The following is a 22,884-nucleotide window of genomic DNA, read 5'->3' as shown; positions in this document are numbered from 1 at the left end:
CCTCAAGTGATCTGCCCACCTCGGCCTCCCAAAGTGCTGGGATTACAGGCGTGAGCCACCGTGTCCAGCCACTCAGAGCAAGACAGGGTCTTGCTCTGTCGCCCAGGCTGGAGTGCAGTGGTGCAGTCACGACTCACGGCAGCCTCAAACTCTCAGACTAGCTTCCCACCTCAGCCTTCTGAGTACCTGGGACTACAGGTGTGCACCGCCACACCCAGCTAACTTTCTAAATTTTTTGTAGAGATAAGGGTCTTGCTATGTTGCCCAGGCTGGTTTTGAATTCCGGACCCCAAGCAATCATCCCACCTGGGCCTCCCAAAGCACTAAGATTACAAGTGTGAGCCACTGCACCTGGCCCCCAAAGGTACTCTTTCATATTCCTACCCCTAGACGCCAAAGTCAGGAGTTACTGTCTTGGGAAACGATTCTCTCTGAGAGGAGATAGACTCCTGAGTGCCTGGAGAAGGGAATGGCAGAGAAATCAGGGAATGTGGGTTCCTTACAAGGTCACACCGAGGGGACGGCCAGTGAAGTCATTCCTGTGGGTTGAGTGTGCGGCGAGAGATTAGCGGTCAGGGCGGAGGCTTCTAGAAGAAATAGAGGGACTTCTTATTCTCCAGTGTAAATTCCACTGAAACCTGGGCCTGTATCTTCTGGCTCTGGCTGAGGGCGAAGTCCAAGGCTATCTCCAGGCGGGTGAGGAAAGGCTGGTGAAGGAGTTGTGTGGATGGCTGAGCCGCTCGCTCCTCCAGAACCACGAGGCAACCCCCCAGCCTGCTGCTGCCCACATTCTACCAGGCAACGCTGGCTGCTGTATCCATGCGCCTGTATTTTCTCAAGAGTAAATAACGCCAGAGCACAGCTCTCTCTCTCCCCAAAGCCGAAATCATTCAGCAAAACATGGTCATGTCCAGCAAAGAAAATCACTGTCAGCGGCCAAACATGGAAACAAGTACAAGCCCACATTAAAAATGTTGAAAATCGGTCCGGCGCGGTGGCTCACGCCTGTAATCCCAGCACTTTGGGAAGCCAAGGTGGGAGGATCCCGTGAGCCCAGGAGTTTGAGACCAGCGTGGGCAACATGGCGAAACCCCGTCTATAAAAGTTACAGAATATTAGCTGGGTGTGGTGGCACATGCCTGTAGTTCCAGCTACTCGTGGGCTTGAGTCCAGGAGGTCGAGGCTGCAGTGAGCTATGTTTGTGCCACTGCACTCCAGCCTGGGTGACGAAACGAGATCCTGCCTAAAAAAAAAAAAAAAAAAAAAAAAAAAAAAAAAAAAAAAAAATTGAAAAGTGTTGTCGAAGAAAGAAACACGACTCTGGCATAACCCAAAGCAGCTCCGGACTCCGCTTTCATCACCCGCCTCCGATAAAGCAGGACTATATACAGGAAGGTTAAACCCCCACTCCAATAAAGGAAGGTTAATCCATAAAATCCCGAGATTTCTCACAAACTCTCTGGAACAAATGAAGCAGCCTCAGGAGATAGGAAATATCATAGGATAAAAGCTCCGACATACCCCCAGGCTCTCAGGATCCTGGCCCTTTTCCAGAGTTCCACAAAATGTAAAGCAGTGACTGGAAGACTTGAGGCCTCCATATGGCAGGAAGAATGCCCTAATTAAGTAGAGTGAAATCTGGAACAAGACGTTTCACAAAGTCTCAGCCGAGAAGGCAGGACGCAGCTTCTCCAGCAAAGGCAACGCCAGCCTCCAGCTGAATCTCTCTCTGAGATTTCTTCCTGCCAAGTTACTAGGTACAGGAAAGTGGCTCTAACTTCAAAATCCCTGTCCCCAAACTGTCGTTCAGAAGGGTAAGCACAAAAGCAACAAGATAAGGAGTGAAGTATGTCAAGGAGAATCCAACCTCCCTCCAAGACAGAAACAGAAGGTTGGGACCCCACTGCAGACCTGCAGGCATAATAATGAGAAAAAGGGCCGGTGCCGTGGCTCCTGCCTGTAATCCCAGCACTTTGAGTGGCCAAGGCCGGTGGATCACTTGAGCCCAGGGGTTTGAGACCAGCCTGGCCAACATGGCAAAACTGTCTTGACTAAAAATACAAATATTAGCCAGATGTGGTGGCAGGCACCTGTAATCCCAGCTACTCAGAAGGCTGAGGCAGGAGAATCTCTTGAGCCCAGGAGGCGGAGAGTGCAGTGAGCCGAGATTGCGCCACTGCACTTCAGCCTGGGCAACAGAGTGAGACTCTGTTGAAAGGAAGGTAGGAAGGAAGGAAGGAAGGGAGGGAGGGAAGGAAAAAGGAAGGAAGAAAGAAACACCTGTGCTAGTGGCAGATGCAGACACCTGCCTGGAAGAAAACCTGACCCTGAAGTCACTTGCAGTGCCCTATGATGTGTCACGCTGCAACAGATACTGCTGACCCCCAGATCTCCTTGGACAGGCAGCATTGCTGCTGACAACTCAGCTGCCCACCTGTCTGGGAGGCTGGGAGGCTTCCCTGCCACAGGGGCATTCTGCAGCCAAGGATGGCTGAGGGCAGACGGCTGGCCCCTGGCCCGAAGGTGGGACCGACCCTATAACATGGCTGAGGCCCTAAGTGCTAAGTTGTGGGGTCTGCAACTTGGGGGACCACTTTGTGAGCAAGCTAGAGGAGGAAATAGAAAAGATTGTTCCTATAGCTCATCTGTTTCTCGTTCTTTCCCCACCCAAGATAAAATATTTCAGAGGCCTTGGTGTGGCTATCCAGGGAGGCATTTCTGCCCAGGAATTGGGTCTCACTGAGGCTTTTCCTTGGCCTGCCCTCCAAGCAGCTGCAGGCAGTGGGCAGGTGGAACTGGTTCTCCAGGCAAGGCTGGTGATGAGACATCTTCCTGTGTGTTTACATGGCACAAGCCCAGAACACCTGCAGACGGGGCCACGTCGGATGCCTTCTGATGCCATTTTCTATCCCCAAATACTCCCCTTGACCCTATGTCTGGATTGTTTTTGAAGGGGAGACTTCTTTTCTGTGAGTCAGAGCCCTCCCCCTTCCAACCTAGAGCACTACTGAGGCCACATCGGAGAGCTGGCAGCGGTCGGGGTCACTCTTGTCCACTAGATAAGTAGTTGATCAAAAGGGTTTAAGGAGACGGATCCACGGCCTTGAACAGCGGTTTCTCCTGAGCAGCTTATCTACCCGCTGCTCTGGGCCTGGTCTCACATGTGGCTCACATTGGGCCTCATTGTGACTTCATTCTGTATCTTTCTTCCCCATCAAAAGGTGAGGTTTTGCCCAGTGCCTCCCTTCCTTCTGACATCTGAAATTCCAGTTAGAGCGCATTCCACATCCTGAAGGCTTGGTCAACCAGCAAGACACAGCTGCTACTCAGAGAGGCATGGCCACATTCCTCCTCAGTGTCTGGTTTCTAGGAGGACACAGGACTGGGAGGACCTGTGGGAAGAAGGAAAGGGTGAGACAGTGACCAGGGAGGGAGGGCTGAGGAAGCTAAGGGTCGCTTCATCTGCTTTACAGTTTGGCCCTGGACTTTCATCCTGCTTTGGGCCAGATGTGGGAAAGAGGGTGACTAGAAACAGGGGTCCACAAGGACCCTCTGCTCCTCTTCCCCTGCATATGCCAAGTCTAAACCTCACTTTAAATATTAGATCAAAATAAGACGTCACTTCTCTGTGGAGTCTAAAATAGTCAAACGCATAGAAGCAGGGTGTCAAATGGTGGTCACCGGGGGGTGGGGCAATGGTTAAATGATACAAAGCTTCAGTTATGCAACATCAACAAGTTCTAGGGATTTACTATACAGTATAGTTCCTAGAGCTAACCCTCCTGTATTGCATACGTAAATGTGCAGAGGGTAGATCTTATGTTGCATTTTTTTTTTTTTGCTTTTTTTTTTTGAGATGGAGTCCCCCTCTGTCACCAGGCTGAAGTGCAGTGGCACAATCTTGGCTCACTGCAACCTTTGCCTCTCGGGTTTAAGCGATTCTCCTACCTCAGCCTCCTCAGTAGCTGGGACTACAGGCACCCACCACCACGTCCAGCTAATTTTTGTATTTTTAGTAGAGATGGGGTTTCACCATGTTGGCCAGGGTGGTCTTGATCTCTTGACCTCGTGATCCATCCGCCTCGGCCTTCCAAAGTGCTGGGATTACAGGCCTGAGCCACCACACCTGGCCCCGTGTTCTTTCTTTTTTGGAGACAGGGTCTTGCTTGGTTGCCCAGGCTGGAGTACAGTGGTGCAATCATAACTCACTGCAGTCTCAAACTCTTGGGCTGAAGCGATCCTCCCATCTCAGCCTCCCGAGTAGCAGGGACTACATGTGTGCACCACCACGCCCAGCTAATTTTCATATTTTTTTTGTAGCGATAGGATGTTGTCCAGGCAGGTCTGGAACTCCTGAGCTCAGGTGATCCTCCCACCTCGGCCTCCCAAAGCACTGAGATTACAGGCATGACCCACTGTGCCCAGCCTTGTGCTGTGTTTTTAACACAAACAGAGATGTGTGCACACACAAATAATAATAAACAGGGCAGGAGGAATCTTTGGGAGGTGATGGATGTGTTTATAGATTTGAGGTGGTAATGGTTTCACCGTTGTATACTTTATCCCCAAACTCGTTGAAATGTAGACATTAAATATATACAGCTTTTTTTTTTTAACATGCCAACCATACTTCATAAAGTTGTTTTAAAAAATAAGATCAACCCAATGGTAAACGTGGTGAACCCAACCCCCGCCTCTCTAACTTGTTGAGCTACAAAAGAGGAAGAAGCCAGGAGCACAGCCGCTGTTGGCTCCGTGCCTAATGACTGAAGCCTTCTATGAGTTGGGTTTGTTATCATGTTTGGCTCCTGGACTGGATTGTTTTCTTTCCTTTTTAAGACGTTTGAAGTCCTTTGATGAGCTGGTGTTTATAGTTCATGTTCTTTCATGCCAAACGAGCACTTCTTATTATCTAGAATTACAAAAGCATTTGGTGTTTTCCAAGCTTAGGTGGCCAGCTTCAGAATCCAAGAAGGAATTACTTTATACCATACAGGGGGGTTGGAAAAAGTCAGATGTAAATCAGATTTCTGACAGTTTAGTAATATTTAAAATTTATTAGAGAAGACACTAAAAGGAAACTTCTGATGAATTTTCTTTCTTTGTTTTCTTGGTAAAATGAAATCATTCACATTCTGCCATGAGTATAATTGCCTCTATTCTAGGCAATTTCTGTATTGTAAATTGGGACTTTGTGTTGGTGATTTTAGAGTAAGGCATGCCTGTTACGTAAATGCATTCTTGCTTTGGATCCTCTGCACAGTTTTCGTGTCTTTTCCTTCGATTCTTTTTCCTTGGCCACTTTTATTTTAATTGAACGGTGACTCATAAAGCAAGTGCATTCGAAGCTAGACCAAGATATTCAGGGACTGTCCCAAGAAACCCGGGCTGGCAGCCTCCCCAGTTGTAGGGGAAGCCATCGGTTTCCATAACCAGTCCAACTGGCAAAAGGTATTCATAGTCTGCAGTGCTTTTTAACTCACTGGTGTGGTGAGAACGGGTTGTACATCCCTTTTTTGCCAGCCCCGAGCAAATGAAACAATCACTGTTCACAGCCTCATCCTACAGAGCATTCAGAAACCACTTCCCCTAGAGATCTTTAAAAATAGACCTGAAAACAGGCCTCTGCCGCTTTGAGAGCTTTGGGGTGGGTCCTGCCTTGAAGCCGAGGAGCCCCTGATGGAGCCGGGGGCTTCTCTATCCTGGACTGCAGTCTCGGAACTCTGCCTTCAAGATTCCGTCAGATCCTGAGGGCAGCTGGAGTCACTGAATCCTGAATGACTTGGCGGGGAAGAAGCGATGACTCATGACTCGTAAGATTAGGCAGGACTTAAAGATGTGAGGCTGTTGGCTCATTGAGATGAAAGGTGGCCTTCTTCGCTCTCCTCTGAGAGGTTTCACGTGGGCCTCCGGTGCCCGGAAGAACAAGGAACAAGGTGCACCGGCTGTAGATCCGGCTTGCATGCTGCTTGAGCAAATGGCCAGGCAGGGCCACTCCCGGGTCTCGGGGCCCAGCCCTCCCCACAGCCTTGTCCCGATGGTCACTAAGGATGTGCCTCTCCAGCAATCAGGCAGGCCTGGAATATCAAAGGCAGATTCTTTTTTTTTTTTTTTGGTGTGAGGGGGGTGTTTCTTTAAAGTAATACGTACAGGATGTGCAGGTTTGTTACATAGGTAAATGTGTGTCATGGTGGTTTGCTGCACCTGTCAACCCATCACCTAGGTATGAAGCCTGCCATGCATTAGCTGTTTTCCCTAATGCTCTCCCCGTCCTTGCCCTCCCCCAACAGGCCCCAGTGTGTGATGTTCCCCTCCCTGTGTCCATGTGTTCTCATTGTTCAGCTCCCACTTACAAGAGAACATGCGGTGTTTGGCTTCCTGTTCCTGAGTTGGTTTGCTGAGGATGATGGCTTCTAGCTTCATCCATGTCCCTGCAAAGGACGTGATCTCGTTCCTTTTTATGGCTGGATAGTATACCGTGGTGTATATGTACTACAGTTTCTTTATCTAGTCTATCATTGACGGGCATTTGGGTTGATTCTATGTCTTTGCTATCGTGAATAGTGCTGCAGTGAACCTATGTGTGCATGTCTCTGTGGCGATTCCTCAAAGACTAAGAACCGGAAATACCATTTGACCCAGCAATCCCATTACTGGGTATATACCCCAAGGCAGATTCTTTTCCTTGTGTGATTCTGGGAGGCGCCAAGCAGAGGGTCTCTGATCGGACGGTTCTAGAAGTGAGGCAGCTTCTGGATTTCCACGCAAGAGATGAACATGAAAGAAGGCTTACCAGGGACCCCATTCTGGAGCCAGGGGACATTTGGGGCCCTGGGATCCAACCTTCCCCACCTTCCTAGCCCACCATGCCTCAGTGTTTATCCTCTACCATTCAGGTTCTCGTCTCCACGTTTCCAGGGCCCCACTGAGAAAGGCAGGGGCCACTCCCACAGCAAATTGACAATTAAAGGGGAACTGAAGTTCACATTCCTGTTCGGAGGTGGATGTCATTTCTGCTTCTCTGTGCATTGTCACCCACGAATGCATTTACTCAGCAAACACCTATTAAACAACTACTGTGTGTACAGCCCAGACTCTGCCTGGGCAGGTGGCTGGGAGTCCACACCCCTGCCACTGGATGTGTGCGTGTGTGTGTGTGTGTGTCTATCTGTCTAAGAGAGAGAGAGAGAGGAGAGAGGAGGGGTATGCAATAAATGCACCATTTTAATCTGGTTTTAGAGGCAGTGAGTGCTGCCTACAAATAGTGTGGGTTCAAGTAAGTCCCCCGGGCACATCCCTTCCTTGACTGACAGTTGAAGTTGGAGGTCGCCATAGACACCGCTGCCTTTGGAAAGGAAGAAGCCCCTGAAGGACGCAGCATATTTAGAAGTCGCATGTGGAGCACAGTGGGGTGCTGGGGATTCTTTAAGGATTTATTGTACAAATTTACCTACCTAGGTCCGTGGACATGTTTCTGTGTGTACACCGAGCTCTAAAGGAGTCTTTCTCAGTAGCAATAAATAGCAACACCTCCCTGTTTAGTCCCAGGGCCTCCGGGATCCCCTGGAAGCGGGGCCAGAGCCGGGGCTAAGGGAACAGAGCTCTGTCCTGGGAACGGAGCTTGTTCCATCTGGCTGTGACGTACGTTTTAATAACTCTGTTTCCTGCTGTCCTCAATCCGGTAGGTTAGGCTTCCCCCGTGGGCTGCCTGTCCTACATGGAAGTGCCTTCTACCTCGTTCTAGGCAGTATTTCAGGCTTAAATATCACCCTTCGCAAAGAATGTAAATGCTAGCGTGAGAGGGCGCAGAGTTAGACAGATTGCGGATTTAAGTAGTGATTATACCACTTCTCAGAAATGCCTGCACAATGATTAGTACCACATATATATCGTATGGGGGTGGCTTAAATCTCTTTGGAAGAGAGAGACTTCAAATGCAGCGGCACTGGTTTTAAAACAAGCTGAATTTAATGTCTGAGGGCCCATTCTATCACCAGGATGTCAATGCTATTGTGACATGGATTGAACCATTTAACCCCAAAGTCATGGGCAGACGCTTTTTCTGTTTCTAGAATGATGGAAAAGGAGAAGGAGGAGAAGGAGGAGGAGGGAGAGGAGGAGGAGGGAGAGGAGGAGGAGGGAGAGGAGAAGGAGGAGGAGGCAGAGGAGGAGAGGAGGAGGGGGAGGGGGAGGAGGAAGAAGAAGAAAGAAAGAAGAAGAAAAATCACACAAGGCCCTGTGACTGTTTTGCGAGGAGGAAAGAACTTCCCTTGGCCTCTTTATACCCTCTAGCTGAGCCCAGAAGAGACAGAGCTCTCCGGAACTGGGGTTTTCATGGCTGGGGCAGCCCTGCTAGTGTCCTCTGTGCTGGCTCACATTTTGTTTAAAGTCCCACCCTAGCTGGGATTTCATTTGCGATGTATGTCGCCCCTAATGTGGTAATAAATGCCTCAAAGTCATAACACCTGTTCCCACGGTATGTTTTCCCTCCGTTCTTTTTTTTTTTTTTTTTTTTTTTTTGAGACAGAGTCTTGCTCTGTCGCCCAGGCTGGAGTGCAATGATGTGATCACAGCTCACTGCAACCTCTCCATGCTAGGCTCAAGCCACCCTCCCACCCCGGGCCTCGCGAGTAGCTGGGACCACAGGCCCACATCACCACATCCATCTAGTTTTTTTTGTATTTTTGCTAGAGACAGGATCTTGCTATATTGCCCAGGCTGGTCTCGGACTCCTGAGCTCAAGCAATCCACCCGCCTTGGCCTTCCAAAGTGCTGGGATTACTAGGCATGAGCCACCATGCCCAGCCTTCCCCGGTATTCTTTATTCTGCCTGGTGTCTGCTTTGGGAAGTTCACGGACTGATGGGACAAACATGCACAATCATACAAGGAAGCTGGGGGTGCCAGGAGGGCTGCACTAAGGCCCTGAGACCCCCCTACATCGGGGGTCTGCCCAGACCCTGCATGGCCTCCGACTGGGTGGGTAAATCCAATCTGGGGTTGGTATTAGGAAACCACTTGTTTGCAGGTATTATATGCCACATTCTCCAATATCAATTTTATAAGAAATAGAGCTGATGCATTTGGTCTCCATCTGCCTAGATTCTTTGTCTCATTTCTCAATGGGCTCAGAACTTACAGCGGCAGGGTGCTCTTTTGGGGGCCATATTGAACTCCAGTAGTGACAGTTAGGTCAGCCCTAATGTCTGACAGTTAAAAGAAAAAGAATGTCAGGCCAATGCTATGTATCCAAAATGGTGGTCTCTGAAGTTGGGGAGCAGTGGGTGAACTTTCCTGGCACAGGGAACCGAAAACACAAGAGGCTTAGAAGTGGGAAGGCACAAGAGTGTCTGAAGACTGTGAAACCCTGAAGCTGCTGGAATACCAGGTGAGGAAAGAGGGGTTGAGAAGAAGCTAGAGAAATAGCCAGACCAATTCAAGCAGGGGTTGCAAGGCTACAGAAAAGTTTGCATTGTGTTCTAAATGCTATGGGAAGTCGCTGAAGGATCTTAAGCAGGGCAATGATGCGGGTCTGTTCACTCCTTCAGAAGTCGCTCTTTTTAACTCTGTAGAGAATGGTCTGGCTGTGGCCCCCGAGAATAGATGAAGAGAGAAGACTCAGGAGACTTTTGCACTAGTCCAGGGCAAGTCTAGATGATGCTTACCTAGACCACGATAGAAGCAATAAACCACTGGAGGGAAAGCCTCAGATGGGAGAGATCACTGGGAGAGCGAAGCCCCGGAATCTGCTGATGAATTGGATGTCGGGGGAGAGGGAAGAATTGGGGATGAATCCTAAGTTCTGGCTTCATGAGTGGATGGGTGTTGACGCCATTTATAGGGATGTGAAGACCGGGAGGATCCTGGGGAAGACCTTTACATTTCAGGTGTTTTAAGGCTTCTTGGAGGCAATATCAGGTAAGCAGTTGGATACAGGAGCTGACTCTCAGAGGGTCTTGAGGAACCCTGGCATTGAGAGGCATGTGTGGGAGGACATCCACGCAGAGGGGACAAGCGACCACATCCATGTCATCCTGCCTGGACAGTTATTTGGCTAGAGGACACTAATGACACAGCTATCGTGTATTATTCAGCAGGGCTTGGGGCTGGATGATATAGACAGCTTCCTTTGGAAAATTCTGTCTAGGAAGCCCAGCATTATAAAGGATTATTGTATGATTTCATTTTGGGGAAATTTTCATAACTTCTAGGATATTTTTTCTTCTCTATACGATACGTAGTTGTCAGTCATTTTCTCATTGAGGGCAAAAGTCGCAGAAGGCTTTTTATTCATTATTATTAATGTCCTTTGAAAAAAGACCCTTTAATTAATGTTCCTATTGGGCACAGAGCTTTTTAAAGACACCACTCCCTCCCTAACACACACAGCTGTGTTTTATAGACTAATTGTCACCTAACCAAGGGACCCCACAGGGATCTGCAATTTGTCCCACCTCTGCCCTGCCACACTTCCCTGCAACGCTCCTAATTGCTGAATCCCATTCAGCCTCATGAAAGTGGTGGCCGATATTTAAAGTTCATTTCAGGAAGGCTTCATAATAACTGGGGAAAATAACATAATCTCGTTTTAAAACATTTCCTTCCTCTGTTCTGCTGATAGAATCAAACAATCCAGAGTTCCATCTGTCCTGTCACAGGTCCAGATTTTAGGATGTGGTTTTGAAGTTACTTGTTTTCTTTGTTTCAGGGCACCTCTGGTGGGATTCCCTCCCCTTCTGGATGGGTGCAGGCTGTACCACTTGTCCCTTGGATTTGCAATTCCAGGAGGAAAATAATGAGCCAGCATTGTGGGAAAATGTCACTCTGCCCCAGTGATCAGTCTCTAAGACTGGGGAGGGAAGTCAAGCTTGAAACGGCAGAGTGGATTTTCTCTTCAAGGAGCACTTTTAAAGGTAATAGAGGCCAGGTGCAGTGGTTCATGCCTGTAATTCCAGCACTTTGGGAGGCCGAGGCAGGTGGATCACTTGAGGTCAGGAGTTCGAGACCAGCCTGACCAACATGGCGAAACCCCATCTCTACTAAAAATACAAAAATTAGCCAGGCATGATGGCAGGCGTCTGTGATCCCAGCTACTCAGGAGGCTGAGGCAGGAGAATCGCTTGAACCTGGGAGGCAGAGGTTGCAGTAAGCCGAGATCACACCACTTCACTCCACTCCAGCCTGGGTGACAGAGCGAGACTTTGTCTCAAAATAAATAAATAAATAAATAAATACATAGATAGATAGATAAATGTAATAAGGAAACACACAAACATACAATAGAGCAACAACCATAATAAAAGTCCAATTGCACATCTGTAAGTAACGTGCCAACATGCACTGCGGTTTGTCGGTCTTACCCCTCTGGTCCTCTGAACAACACAGGGCTTTTGTATGACATGATCTCAGTCCTGGGTGAAGGTGGAAAGGGATTGCTCCCTGCAGCTCTGTCAATTTCTCCTTTCCTGGTTTCCAACAAGCCCATCTCTTTCCCTCCTGCTTCCGGTGCAAGGGTAGGCAAACTTTTTCTGAAAGGAGCCAGATAGAAAATATTTTATTTTATTTTATTTTGAGACAGGGTCTCACTCTGTCACCCAGGCTGGAGTGCAGTGGCACAATCGTAGCTCACTGCAGCCTCAACCTTTGGGCGTGAGCCATCCTCTCACGTCAGTCCTCTGTGTAGGTGGGATTACAGGAATGCACCACCATGCCCAGCTAATTAAAAAAATTTTTTTTGGTCCAGCCTGGCCAACATGGCAAAACCCCATCTCTATTAAAAAATACAAGAATTAGCTGGGCATGATGGCGTGCACCTGTAGTCCCTGCTACTTGGGAGGCTGAGGCAGGAGAATCACTTGAACCCAGGAGGTGGAGGCTGCAGTGAGCTGAGATCGCACCACTGCACTCCAGCCTGGGTGACAGAGCAAGACTCTGTCTCAAAAAAAAAAAAAAAAAAAAGAATGGCCAAGCATGGTGGCTCACGCCTGTAATCTCAGCAATTTGGGAGGCCCAGGCGGGCGGATCACAAGGTCACAAGGTCAAGAGATCGAGACCATCCTGGCCACCATGGTAAAACCCCACCTCAACTAAATATACAAAAATTAGCTGGGTGTGGGGGCATATGCCTGTAGTCCCAGCTACTCAAGAGGCTGAGGCAGGAGAATCGCTTGAACCCGGGAGGCAGAGGTTGCAGTGAGCTGAGATCGCGCCATTGCACTCTGTCCTGGCGACAGGGCAAGACTTCGTCTCAAAAAAAAAAAAATTTTTTTTTTGTAGAGATGAAATCTTGCTGTGTTGCCTAGGCTGGTCTTGAACTCCTGGGCTCAAACGATCCTCCCTCCTCAGTCTCCCAAAGTGCTTAGGTTACAGGTGTGAGCCATGGCGCCCAGCCAGGAAATATTTTAGACTCTGTGGACCACACAATCTCTTTCACGCTGACTCAACTCCGTCCTGCAGCCTGAAAGCAGCCACAGACAATATGTGAACAGCTGAGGGTGACTGCGCTCCAGTGAAACTATTTCTGGATGTTGAAATTTGAATTTCAAATAATTTTCACATGTCATGAAGTAGTGTTCTTCTTTTGCTTTTTTTTTAACCATTTCAAAATGTAAAAACATTCTAAGCCCATGTGTTGCACAAAACCGGGCAGCAGGCAGGATGGACCTGGCTCATGGGCTGCGGTTTCCCGACCCTAATTTTTTTTTTTTTTTTTTGAGACAGAGTCTCACTCTGTCGCCCAGGCTGGAGTGCAGTGGCGCAATCTCAGCTCCCTGCAATCCCGCTTCCTGGGTTCAAGCAATTCTCCTGTCTCAGCCTCTTGAGTAGCTGGGATTACAGGCACGCGCCACCACACCTGGTTAATTTTTGTATTTTTAGTAGAAACAGGGTTTCACCATGTTGGCCAGGCTGGTGTCAAACTCCTGGCCTCAAGTGATCCTCCTGTCTCGACCTCCCAAAGTGTTGGGATTACAGGCGTGAGCCACTGCGCCTGGCCCTGACTCTTCTTAGTTTGTGGCTTCATCTTTGCCACCCTGATCAAAATCCCGTCTCTACCAGAGTCTCGCTCTGTCGCCAGGCTGGAGTGGGGTGGTGCGATCTCTGCTCCCTGCAGCCTCCGCCTCCCCGGTTCACGCAGGGATGTGAGTGCTAGTTTCTATCTGAGTGTGATAGAAAAGGGGGAAGGACCCTTCTCGTTCCTATTTTTTTATTCTTCATTGATTTCCCCCACTGCTTCTGCCTCTACGCTCATCTCCTCTGCTAGATGGTTCCATTTTCTTTTATGTTCCCCATCTTCCCTGTGAGCTCTAAATGCTCTTACAAGGTGTCTCATCAGACCTCACGGTTGGCCAGGCTTTGTGGCTCAGGCCTGTAATACCAGCACTTTGGGAGGCCAAGGCAGGAGGATTGCTTGAGGCAGGAGTTCAAGACCAGCCTGGGCAACATAGTGAGACCTCGTCTCTACAAAAATTAAAAAAAATAGCCAGGTGTGGTGGTGCACACCTCTGGCCCCAGCTATCTGGGAGGCAGAGGCAGAAAGATCCCTTGAGCCCAGGGGTTTGAGGCTGCAGTGAGCCATGACTGTGCCACTGCACTCCAGTCTAGGCAACAGAGTGAGATTCTGTCTCTAAAAAACAAACAAAAGAACTCACACTTTTGTTCCCGCCATGTCTCAAACCCATGGTGGCCAAATGCAATCCAAACTGTCTGTGGGATACAAGTTTTACAGGTTTGCAGCAAAATGAGAAAAATGGGGATGATGGAGGAAGTTTTCCATAAGGCTAAATTTACTCTCTTTGAAGGAGGACCTTTTATTCTAAGATGATGCCTTTTATACCTTTTGGGAATTACAGTGTCTGGTTCTTTGTGAAAGTAGATGGTGGTAATTCACAAACAAAAAAGTTACTCGTGCAAATTGCTTTTTTTCTTTTGATAATTTTACTAAAATTTGAAATCCAAAAGACTGAGAACATCATTATGATTTTGACTCCCAAGTCTGCATTTCCAACCCCAATTTCTCTCCTGGGTTCCAGACCCATAGATCTTAACTACCCAGTGGACGTCTTACCTGGATATGCGGTAAGCACTTCCAATGCAGCATAGCTAACTTGAAATATTTTATTTTCCTGGTCCTCCTTCATCTCATCTCTCCTTCCCACCCCTCCTTGAAATAAACCCAGATTTCCCTCTTCTTCCTGAATCTCCCAGCAAGGTCCAGAACATTGCTCTGCCCTTAATCACTCAGGCTAGAACCGTGGAGTTTTATTTCACTCTTTCTGCTTTCTCTCTCTGTCTGATCCGTTGCTGGGTTCTGTTGATTTGACCTCAGATAAGTCTATTGTATTTGTTCTCTCCAATGTATCTCCACCACCTCTTCCTCTTTCAGTGTTTAATGGTTTCTTCCCAAGTGCTCTCTGCTCCATCAGCTTTCTCTCCAGTGGCCAATCCACTATGATCAGTAGTCATTGTATTAGTCTGTTCTCACACTGCTATAAAGAAGTACCTGAGACTGGGTAGTTTATAAGAAGAGAGGTTTAATTGGCTCACGGTTCTGCAGGCTGTACAGGAAGCATGGCAGCATCTGCTTCTGGTGAGGCCTCAGGAAGCTTCCAATCATGGTGGAAGGAAAATGAGGAGCCAGCACTTCACATGGCCGGAACAGGAGGAAGAGAGCGAGGCAGGAGGTGCCACACACTGTTAAACAAGCAGATCTCACGAAAACTCATTCGCTTTCACTAAGACAATCCCCAAGAGGGTGGCACTAGGACATTCATGAGAAATCTGCCCTCACGATCCAATTACCTCCCACCAGGCCCCACCTCCAGCATTGGGGATTACATTTCAACGTGAGATTTGAGGGGGGGACACAGATCCAAACCATATCAGTCATCTTTCTAAAAGATACTGGGTATGTCAATCACCTGCTCAAAGAAACCATCAAATTCGATAGAATGGAGCTATGGTTTCCTTATCCTAGTACTCAAGGCCCTCTGTGATTCTCCCCCAGCCACCTTGCTATGCTCATTTTAGATTCCTTCTCCCCTGAGATTCCCTATTCCTATCATTCAAGATACTTTCATCATTGAATATCCTTGGCTGCCATCTTTCTTCCTTAGCTAATGCATTTCTCTTATTTAGAATTCCCTTACTCTCTCCAAGTAACTGAATCCTTCTCCATCTTCAAGACCTAACCTAAATGTCACTTCTATGCAATGTTCCTTGAATTTGTCCAGACCTATCTCTTCCCCAAACAACAATCAAAGCAATCTTTTCCCAATACTAAGTGGAGTATTTCTTGCCTTGTCTTGAAGCCCTGTACTGGCTACCCGTTGCTCTTATAATAAAGATAAACACTCTTAGCATTGCCTGCAAGGCCCTGGTACATCTGCCTACATTGCACTTTCCAACCTCCTTCCTCACCACCCCTGTGATGGTTAATTTTTTGTGTCAACTTGACTGGGCCTGGATATTTGATCAAATATGATTTCTGGTGTGTCTGCAAGGGTATTTTTGCATGAGATTGATTTTTTTTTTTTTTTTTTTGAGGCAGAGTCTTGCTCTGTCTCCCAGGCTGGAGTGCAGTGGTGGTATCTCGGCACATTGCAACCTCCGCCTCCTGGGTTCAAGTGATTCTCCTGCCTCAGCCTCCCAAGTAGCTAGGATTACAGGCACCTGCCACCATGCCTGGTTAATTTTTGTATTTTTAGTAGAGACAGGGTTTCACCGTGTTAGCCAGGCTGGTCTTTAACTCTTGGCCTCATGTGATCCACCCACCTCAGCCTCCCAAGTGCTGGGATTACAGGCATGAGCTACTGTGCCTGGCCTGAAATTACTTTTTTAATGCCTGTGTCTCTTTCCAGACTCTAAACTTCTTGAGGGCAGGGTCCTTGACAGTCTTTTTCCTCCCCGTAGCCTCAGCACACAGCAAAGGGCCATGAATGTGATTCAAGGATTTTTGCTCCTTAGTTCAGCTTAATCTGGGTTCTTGTCTCACAGCCAGGAAAAAATAGGCACGTGGACACATTGAAGGGTGAGGAGGGCTGAATTGATTAAGCAAAAGGAAAGCTCTCAGTTAAAGGCAGGGTCCTGCCTGCAGGCTTCCGCCTCACAAATTGAATGCCAGGCTGCCACCCATGAGTCCAAAAGGCCAGGCTCCTCCCCTGCCTAAGGGGAATTCCTGGTGGGTCCACCCCATTCTTCCAGTGGGCAGGTGGGCCCTTGGTCTGAGCCACTCCACATTGGTTTATTTCCCTTACTGCGCAGGTGTGAAGGGATGGAATTTTTGACTGTGGGCTTGTTTAGATAAGCCCCCTGTGCACAATGACCTGGGCAGGTCGGGGGTTCTCTGGGGACCCTTCCCTATTGGCCTGGCCATTTGGCTGGCTCCTGCCTCTATCAAATGGGGGAACGAATGAGTGACTAGATTCCTGTGCTTGTGGCTGGAATGACACTGAAGGGATTCTGTTCTGCAGAAGATAACCAAATCGGCAGGGTAAGAAGAGACGTCAACTGCCTGCCTGCTGTAATCTGTGTTAAGAAATGTCAATCCTGAAGAAAAAGATGTTTTTCATCTGTTCCTTCCAGTTAAAAAAAAAAAATCACTGTTGCTCTATCACAGCTAAGATAACATTCAATCTGATTAAGGCGACAAGGTGTTTCCGGTTGGGTAATCTTGCTCATCGTGGTTCCTAAAGTGTGTGCCCAGCTGGATGGTAATAAATGACTAAGAATCAGGGCAGATGAAATCCTAATTTTTGTTTCTTCATGTCTATTTGTCTCCCACTTTCCATAATGACTTCCATATGGTGATAAACATGATTTATAGCTGTGTTTTTTAGTTAATATGTGTGAATTGTGGCTCTCTAACACGCCTCCTTGTTTTTACTTTGCAATCTTTCATAGGAAGCGTGTTGTTCTCTGGCACTGAGCACCCCCCAAACGCTGGGCAAAATGAGGCTGAATTCACAGCCGCTGAGTTTCCCACAGGCCAACCACACCATTGCTCCAAAAGACCTTGAAGTTCCCTCCTTCCACCTCCTCCACCTCTTACCTTCCTTCTTCCTCTCACACGCTGACTTGGCCAGTTTCCATCAGAGGTTTGGAATGGGATATTTCTCTCATTCAGCTACAGCGTAAGAAGTTCTCTTTGCAGTATTACAAAGGACACCAGATGAACTTAACTGCAGAAGTGGGCCCCCAGATAGGAGGCTTTGTTCCTTCCTGTAGCCTCAGCACACAGCACAGGGCCACATAGGAGGCCATCGACTTGTTGACAAATGTATCTTGTGGGTCTTCCTGAGATCTGTGCTATGGTAGATGCTAGAGAGCTACAGAGGCTCAGCATCGTCTGGCTGTTTCTAATGAATGAATATTTAGTGGATACTTGTCATGTGCAATGCAGAAAGCAGCCGAGGGAGCTGGAAAACTCATCCATTGAAGTGGGGCATATTGGGAAGAAAGGGAGAACGGAAGGAAGAAAGGAAGAAAGGAAGGAAGGAGGGAGGAAGGGAGGGAAGGAAGGAGGAAGGCAGAGAAGCCAGGTAGGAAACTTGCTGTTCTTTGGTGTGAGCATGGTGTTCACATTGACAAATTGTAAAGAAAACACGAAACCCTCACAGGACCCTTTTCTGCTTGTGGTCCCTGTGCCTGGCTGCCCAGATGTCTCGGGGAGCACTGTTCCCCCAATATCTTCAGTGCCTACTCCCTTACCTTCTTCAGGTCTTTCCTCAAATATTACCTCTTCCATTAAGCCTCTCTGATTATGCTATTTAAAATTGCAATCCGGCTGGGCGTGGTGGCTCACGCCTGTGATCCGAAAACTTAGGGAGGCCGAGGCGGGCAGATCGCTTGAGGCCAGGAGTTCAAGACCAGTCTGACCAACATGGTGAAATACTGTCCCTACTAAAAATGCAAAAATCAGCCAGGCTTGGTGGTGTGCACCTGTAGTCCCAGCTCCTCGGGAGACTGAGGCAGGAGAATGGCTTGAGCCCGGGAGGCGGAGGTTGCAGTGAGCCAAGATTGCGCCACTGCACTCCACCCTGGACGACAGAGCGAGACTCCATCTAAAAAAAAAAAAAAAAAAAAAAGTGCAATCCCCACCCCGAAACGTTTCCTGCTTTGCATTTGCAAATCCTCTTTGACCTTCCCAACTGTTTCTTCTTTTATAGACTTAACATCTTCCCACATACCACAGGCACACCTAGTTGTTGTTTTTCTTGTTTTGATTTTTTTTTTTTTTTTGAGACAGAGTCTCGCTCTGTCACCCAGGCTGGAGTGCAGTGGCGCGATCTTGACTCACTGCAACCTCTGCCTCCCGGGTTCAAGCAATTCTCCTGCCTCAGCCTCCCTAGTACCTGAGACTACAGGCACACGCCACCATGCCCGGCTAATTTTTTGTATTTTAGTAGAGATGGGGTTTCACCGTGTTGCCCAGGCTGGTCGCGAACTCCTGAGATTAGGCGATCCACCCACCTCAGCCTCCCAGAGTGCTGGGATTACAGGCGTAAGCCACCGTGCCCGGCCAGGCCCACATCGTTTTATTGTGCATCCCTTTATTGTGCTTTGCAGATATTGTACTTTTTACAAAATGGAAGGTTTGTGGCAGTCTTGCATGGAGCAAGCCTGTTGGTGCTGTTTTTCCAAGACCCATGTGCTCACTTCGTGTCCCTGTGTCCCATTTTGGTAATTGTCACGGTATTTTAAGCTTTTTCGTTATTGTTATATCTCTGATGGTGGTCTGTGATCTTCGCTGTTACTATAGTAATTGTTTCAGGGCACCAAGAATTGTGCTCATAAAATGGGGAACTTAATCGATAAATGTTGTGTGTGTTCTGACTGTTCCACTGATGGCCGCTCCCTGTCTCTCTCCCTCTCCTTACACCTGCCTATTCCTGAGATACAGAAATATCGAATCAGGCCAATTAGTGCCCTACGATGCCTCTAAGTGTTCAAGCGAAAGGAAGAGCGTTGTACATCTCTCACTTTAAATCGCAAGCTGGACATGATGAAGCGTAGTGAGGAAGGCATGTCCAAAGCCAAGACAGGCTGAAAGCTAGGCCTCTTGAACCAGTTAGCTGAGTTATGAATGAAAAAAAGTTCTTGGGGCTGGGTGTGATGGCTCACGCCTGTAACCCCAGCACTTTGGGAGGCCGAGGTGGCCTTGAGGCCAGGAGTTTGAAACCAGCCTGGCCAACATAGTGAAACCCCCATTTCTACTGAAAATACAAAAATTAGCTGGGTATGGTGGCACGTGCCTATAGTCCCAGCTACTCAGGAGGCTGAGGCAGGAAAATCACTTGAATCTGGGAGGCAGAGGCTGCAGTGAACCGAGATTGCACCACTGCACTCCAGTCTGGGCGACAGAGTAAGGCTCCGTCTCAAAAAAAAAAAAAGTGCTTGAAGGAAATTAAAAGTGCTACTCCAGTGAACCCATGAATGATCAGAAAGCAAAACAACCTTATTGCCGATTATGGAGAAATTGGTAATCAGTCTGTAGCTGTCAACATCGAGCCGCAGCCCTCCACCAGCTGAAAGAGTTGCTGAAGGCTTAGATGATGGTTAGCTTTTTTTTTTTTTTTTTTTTTTTAGCAATAAGGTATTTTAAAAATTAACTTAGTATGTACATTGTTTTTTAAACATAATACTATTGCACACTTAATAGACTCTGGTAAAACATCAACATAATTCTTATATGCACTGGGAAACCAAAAAAATTGAGTGGCTTGCTTTATCGTGATAATTCACTATTGCAGTGGCCTAGAACTGCAATATCTCTGAGGTCTGCTTGTATATAATACACTTATTTATTGTGGATATGAGTTAGGCTTGCTCCCATCCCCACTAGAGTGTAAGCTCTGCAAAGTTTATCTGTCTTATTCGCTGATGTATCTTAAGTGCCTAGAACAGTGCCTGGCATGTGATAGATGCCATTTGCATTCAAGTGGCAGGAGTTTGGATGATTGCGGTCTGGACTTCCGATGCCGAAACCGGGGAATGAATGGAGGAAGTGAGACTCTGGATGAAACAGGAGCAGGTCAAATTTAGACAACGGAAGGCCACAGGGATCCATACCCCCAGTGGGGTGCCCCACAGGCAGAGGCGCAAATAAAACGTCGGTGAGAAGCCCAGCCCGTGGGTCCTGGAGAACTAGGATGAAGTGGGAGGGAGGGGTGGGAGGCTGAGAACCGGGAAAGCTGGGCAGGGGCGTGCGGACTTTTTGTGGTGAGCCTCAAAGAGACTTGGGAGTGGCAAGATAAAAGCTTTGTTTTAGAAGAGCTACGCAGCTGCCAAATATAGGCTGGACTGCAAAGTGGAGTCAGGGAAAGCCAGAGACACCTGCTGGGAAGTTGTTAGCCAGTGGTCAGGGAAGGTCTGAACAAGGCGATCATAAAAGATCATCTGAAACAGATTTTGGAAGAAGAAACAGATTTTTTTCTGATTTTTTATTATGAAAAGTTTCAAGCATACAAAAATATGTAATAATTATCACCATACATATACATATGTGTGTATATACATATTTGTATGTGGATTCAACAGCTCCAACAACTGAATTTTAATTGGATTTTATGTCATTTACCAAGAACCTACAAATGGTGGGTCACAGTAGGTACATTCTAATACAGAAAACATTTTTCCAATTGTTACAAGACCTAGGATTCGACGTCGCATCATATTTTCTTATTATAATTTCAATAGAGTCAAGACTATAATAGCATTTTAAGCATTCTAGGTCCTTGAATATGAACCTCTGTGCAAAGTCACCATTCATTAAATTACTGGTGAAGGGAATGGGATGCTGTTTGGCTTAGTGTGCCTGTGATTGTAATTTTTGTCAGCAAAATAGGTTTTGTTGGTTGCTGTTTTTTGAGATGGGGTCTCTGCTTGTCACCCAAGCTGGAGTGCAATGGCACAATCTCAGCTCACTGTATACTCGACCTCCCTGGCTCAAGGGATCCTCCTACTGCAGCCTCCTGAATAGCTGGGAACACAGGCATGCACCACCATGCTGGCTGATTTTGTTTATTTTTTGCAGAGACAAGGTCTCGCTATATTGCCTAGGCTGTTCTTCAGTGCCTGAGCCCAAGCAATCCTCCCACCTCAGCCTCCCAAAGTGCTGGGATTACAGGCAGGAGCTGCTGAACCTGGCCATAGCCACTGTGCTCGGCCAAGCAAAATAGTTTTTAAACATTCATGTTCGCTGGAGAGAGAGGAAAAAATATTGTTTTGTTCCCCTCTACAGAAAACAAAGGCTTCTGTGATCAATATTTTATGTCAAACATCCTGTGAGGATGAAGGGCCCTTCTATGCTTCACCATTTTAACCTCTCATTTGGAAAAGCAAAAAGGTGAGAGAGTGAACTGTGAAAGCGAAACTGCTGAGGAAAATGATACTCAGCCTGACATGTTGTTACTTCTTATTTCCAGCTTTCTTCCTTTCCCTAGTCTTCTGGTTTGTTTGTTTGTTTGTTTTCTCAGCCTGACCCAGTGTTACTTTCTATGTCAATTCTAGGCCTGGGAGAAGCTGCGTTCGCAAAATCTCTCCTGGATGACTTGTTCAGAAGCCAGTTCAGTAAATTCAAACTGTTCCAGAGTCCCCTTTTGAAAACCACAGATGCCGTGGACCCACTAAGGTTGAGCTGTGCTGCGGTGAAGTGTTTTGTGTTCTTTGTGTAATGAAACTCCCCAGATAAAGGACTTGGAATTGAGCTTTTGAACTACAGATGGTCGTGTTCCAGTGAGGATCCTGGCCACTTAGTTCCCAGAATCCTTGACCCTGGGCCTGTGAATTCCTCATTCTGAGAGGGTCTGGATGATGTTAGTGGATACTACGCTGTTTCCAAGTAGATAGCCGGAGCCTCCAGCTGATAGACCCAAGGGTCAAATGGTCTGGAAGTGGAGTGGGTGAGGGAGAGGACTGGCCCATTCTTTGGGAAGAAGTTCCATCCTTCCCCACTTACAATCCCTCAGTCATTCTATCTATTTATTTGTCTGGCTCATGAGAGGACAGATGTTCTTGTTCCTTTTTCCCATTCTTTTAAAATTCATTTTTAATTGAACGTTTAACACATGAATACACTCTCGTAAAAAAAAAAATTCATTGCAGATAAAGACAAAAATCTCCCTTGATTCTTGCTGTGGTCTGAAACTGTCCCCCAAGGTTCTTATGTAGAAACTTTTTTTTTTTTTTGGGGGACAAGGTCTCGCTCTGTTGTCCAGGCTGGAATGCAGTGGCTCAATCATGGCTTAGTACAGCCTTGAACTCCTGGGCTCAAGCGATCCTCCCACCTTAGCCTCCAAAGTAGCTGGGACCACGGGCATGCACCACCTGGGGCCTGGGTAATTTTTAAAATTTTCTGTAGAGACAGGGTCTCCCTATGTTGCCCAGGCTGGTCTCAGCAGTCCTCCTGCCTCAGCCTCCCAAAGTGCTGGGATTACAGGTGTGAGCCACTGCGCTCATGTCTTATGTAGAAACTTACTAGCCAATGTGATAGTATTAAAAGTTGGGGCCTTTAGGAGGTGATTCAATCACTTAGGGCCCTTATAAAAGGGTGTGAAGGAGTGGATTCATTCCCTTTTCCATCCCTTCTTCCAGGTGAGGACGCAGTGTTTGTCCCCTCCAGGAGACACAGTGTTCAAGGCGCCATCTTGGAAGCAGAGACCAAGCCCTTGCCATACTAAACAGGCTAGCACTGTGATCTTGGACTTGTCAGCCTCCACAATGGTAAGAAATAAATTTCTATTGTTTATAATTTACCCATTCTGTGGTATTTTGCTGTAGCAGCTCAAATGGACTCAAACACTTCCCCAGCCACCAGCCCACTTCCTCCTAATTCTATTTTCAGTTCGGTTTAATCTGTCCAGATTTTCTTGTCTGCATTTACATGACC

At 47.5% G+C, this 22,884-nt stretch overlaps 2 long non-coding RNA genes across 5 annotated transcripts in view, besides 8 other annotated features; one reads left to right on the top strand and one right to left on the bottom strand.

The window, feature by feature from the left end:
* The window catches only part of LOC105376413 (uncharacterized), a 70,155-nt gene that overhangs the window by 14,904 nt on the left and 32,367 nt on the right, over positions 1–22,884 (top strand). The window contains exons 3-6 of one of the 2 annotated variants that reach the window (XR_007062054.1): positions 10,708–10,912; positions 21,238–21,342; positions 21,507–21,627; positions 22,590–22,718. This is a non-coding gene — a long non-coding RNA (uncharacterized LOC105376413). Of the gene's footprint in view, positions 1–8,756; positions 10,913–21,237; positions 21,343–21,506; positions 21,628–22,589; positions 22,719–22,884 lie in introns of those variants that run through there. The other variant, XR_930662.3, reaches the window with a different exon arrangement.
* Positions 4,833–4,882: an enhancer, noted in NCBI's record as "active region_3026". NCBI's record gives its function as "activates an Ori minimal core promoter by ATAC-STARR-seq in GM12878 lymphoblastoid cells {active_cell/tissue: GM12878}" and the evidence as "EXISTENCE:reporter gene assay evidence [ECO:0000049][PMID:35858748]".
* Positions 5,221–6,420: an enhancer, noted in NCBI's record as "MED14-independent group 3 enhancer chr10:11726365-11727564 (GRCh37/hg19 assembly coordinates)". NCBI's record gives its function as "activates an origin of replication core promoter dependent on BRD2, BRD4, P300/CBP and CDK7 cofactors, and independent of MED14, by STARR-seq in HCT116 cells {active_cell/tissue: HCT116}" and the evidence as "EXISTENCE:reporter gene assay evidence [ECO:0000049][PMID:35650434]".
* Positions 5,588–5,897: an enhancer, noted in NCBI's record as "active region_3025". NCBI's record gives its function as "activates an Ori minimal core promoter by ATAC-STARR-seq in GM12878 lymphoblastoid cells {active_cell/tissue: GM12878}" and the evidence as "EXISTENCE:reporter gene assay evidence [ECO:0000049][PMID:35858748]".
* Positions 5,958–6,057: an enhancer, noted in NCBI's record as "active region_3024". NCBI's record gives its function as "activates an Ori minimal core promoter by ATAC-STARR-seq in GM12878 lymphoblastoid cells {active_cell/tissue: GM12878}" and the evidence as "EXISTENCE:reporter gene assay evidence [ECO:0000049][PMID:35858748]".
* Positions 7,378–7,447: an enhancer, noted in NCBI's record as "active region_3023". NCBI's record gives its function as "activates an Ori minimal core promoter by ATAC-STARR-seq in GM12878 lymphoblastoid cells {active_cell/tissue: GM12878}" and the evidence as "EXISTENCE:reporter gene assay evidence [ECO:0000049][PMID:35858748]".
* Positions 10,017–11,478: an enhancer, noted in NCBI's record as "VISTA enhancer hs1382". NCBI's record gives its function as "enhancer in: forebrain[6/13]" and the evidence as "EXISTENCE:transgenic organism evidence [ECO:0001131][PMID:17130149]".
* On the bottom strand, positions 10,272–17,180 carry LOC105376412 (uncharacterized). 3 transcript variants are annotated; one of them, XR_007062055.1, is made up of 4 exons: positions 17,047–17,180; positions 14,065–14,690; positions 11,360–11,527; positions 10,272–11,180 (listed from the first exon to the last, which is right to left on the bottom strand). It is a non-coding gene; the product is annotated as an uncharacterized LOC105376412 (long non-coding RNA). The 3 variants fall into 3 exon arrangements; XR_002957063.2 differs by having other exon boundaries at positions 14,544–14,690; XR_930661.3 differs by lacking the exon at positions 14,065–14,690.
* Positions 12,625–12,714: an enhancer, noted in NCBI's record as "active region_3022". NCBI's record gives its function as "activates an Ori minimal core promoter by ATAC-STARR-seq in GM12878 lymphoblastoid cells {active_cell/tissue: GM12878}" and the evidence as "EXISTENCE:reporter gene assay evidence [ECO:0000049][PMID:35858748]".
* Positions 13,005–13,054: an enhancer, noted in NCBI's record as "active region_3021". NCBI's record gives its function as "activates an Ori minimal core promoter by ATAC-STARR-seq in GM12878 lymphoblastoid cells {active_cell/tissue: GM12878}" and the evidence as "EXISTENCE:reporter gene assay evidence [ECO:0000049][PMID:35858748]".

The sequence above is a fragment of the Homo sapiens genome, chromosome 10 (assembly GCF_000001405.40).
Source record: "Homo sapiens chromosome 10, GRCh38.p14 Primary Assembly".
Lineage (NCBI taxonomy): Eukaryota > Metazoa > Chordata > Mammalia > Primates > Hominidae > Homo > Homo sapiens.
The sequence above is the reverse complement of the archived record's forward strand: the minus strand, read 5'-3'. Positions and strand labels throughout refer to the sequence as shown.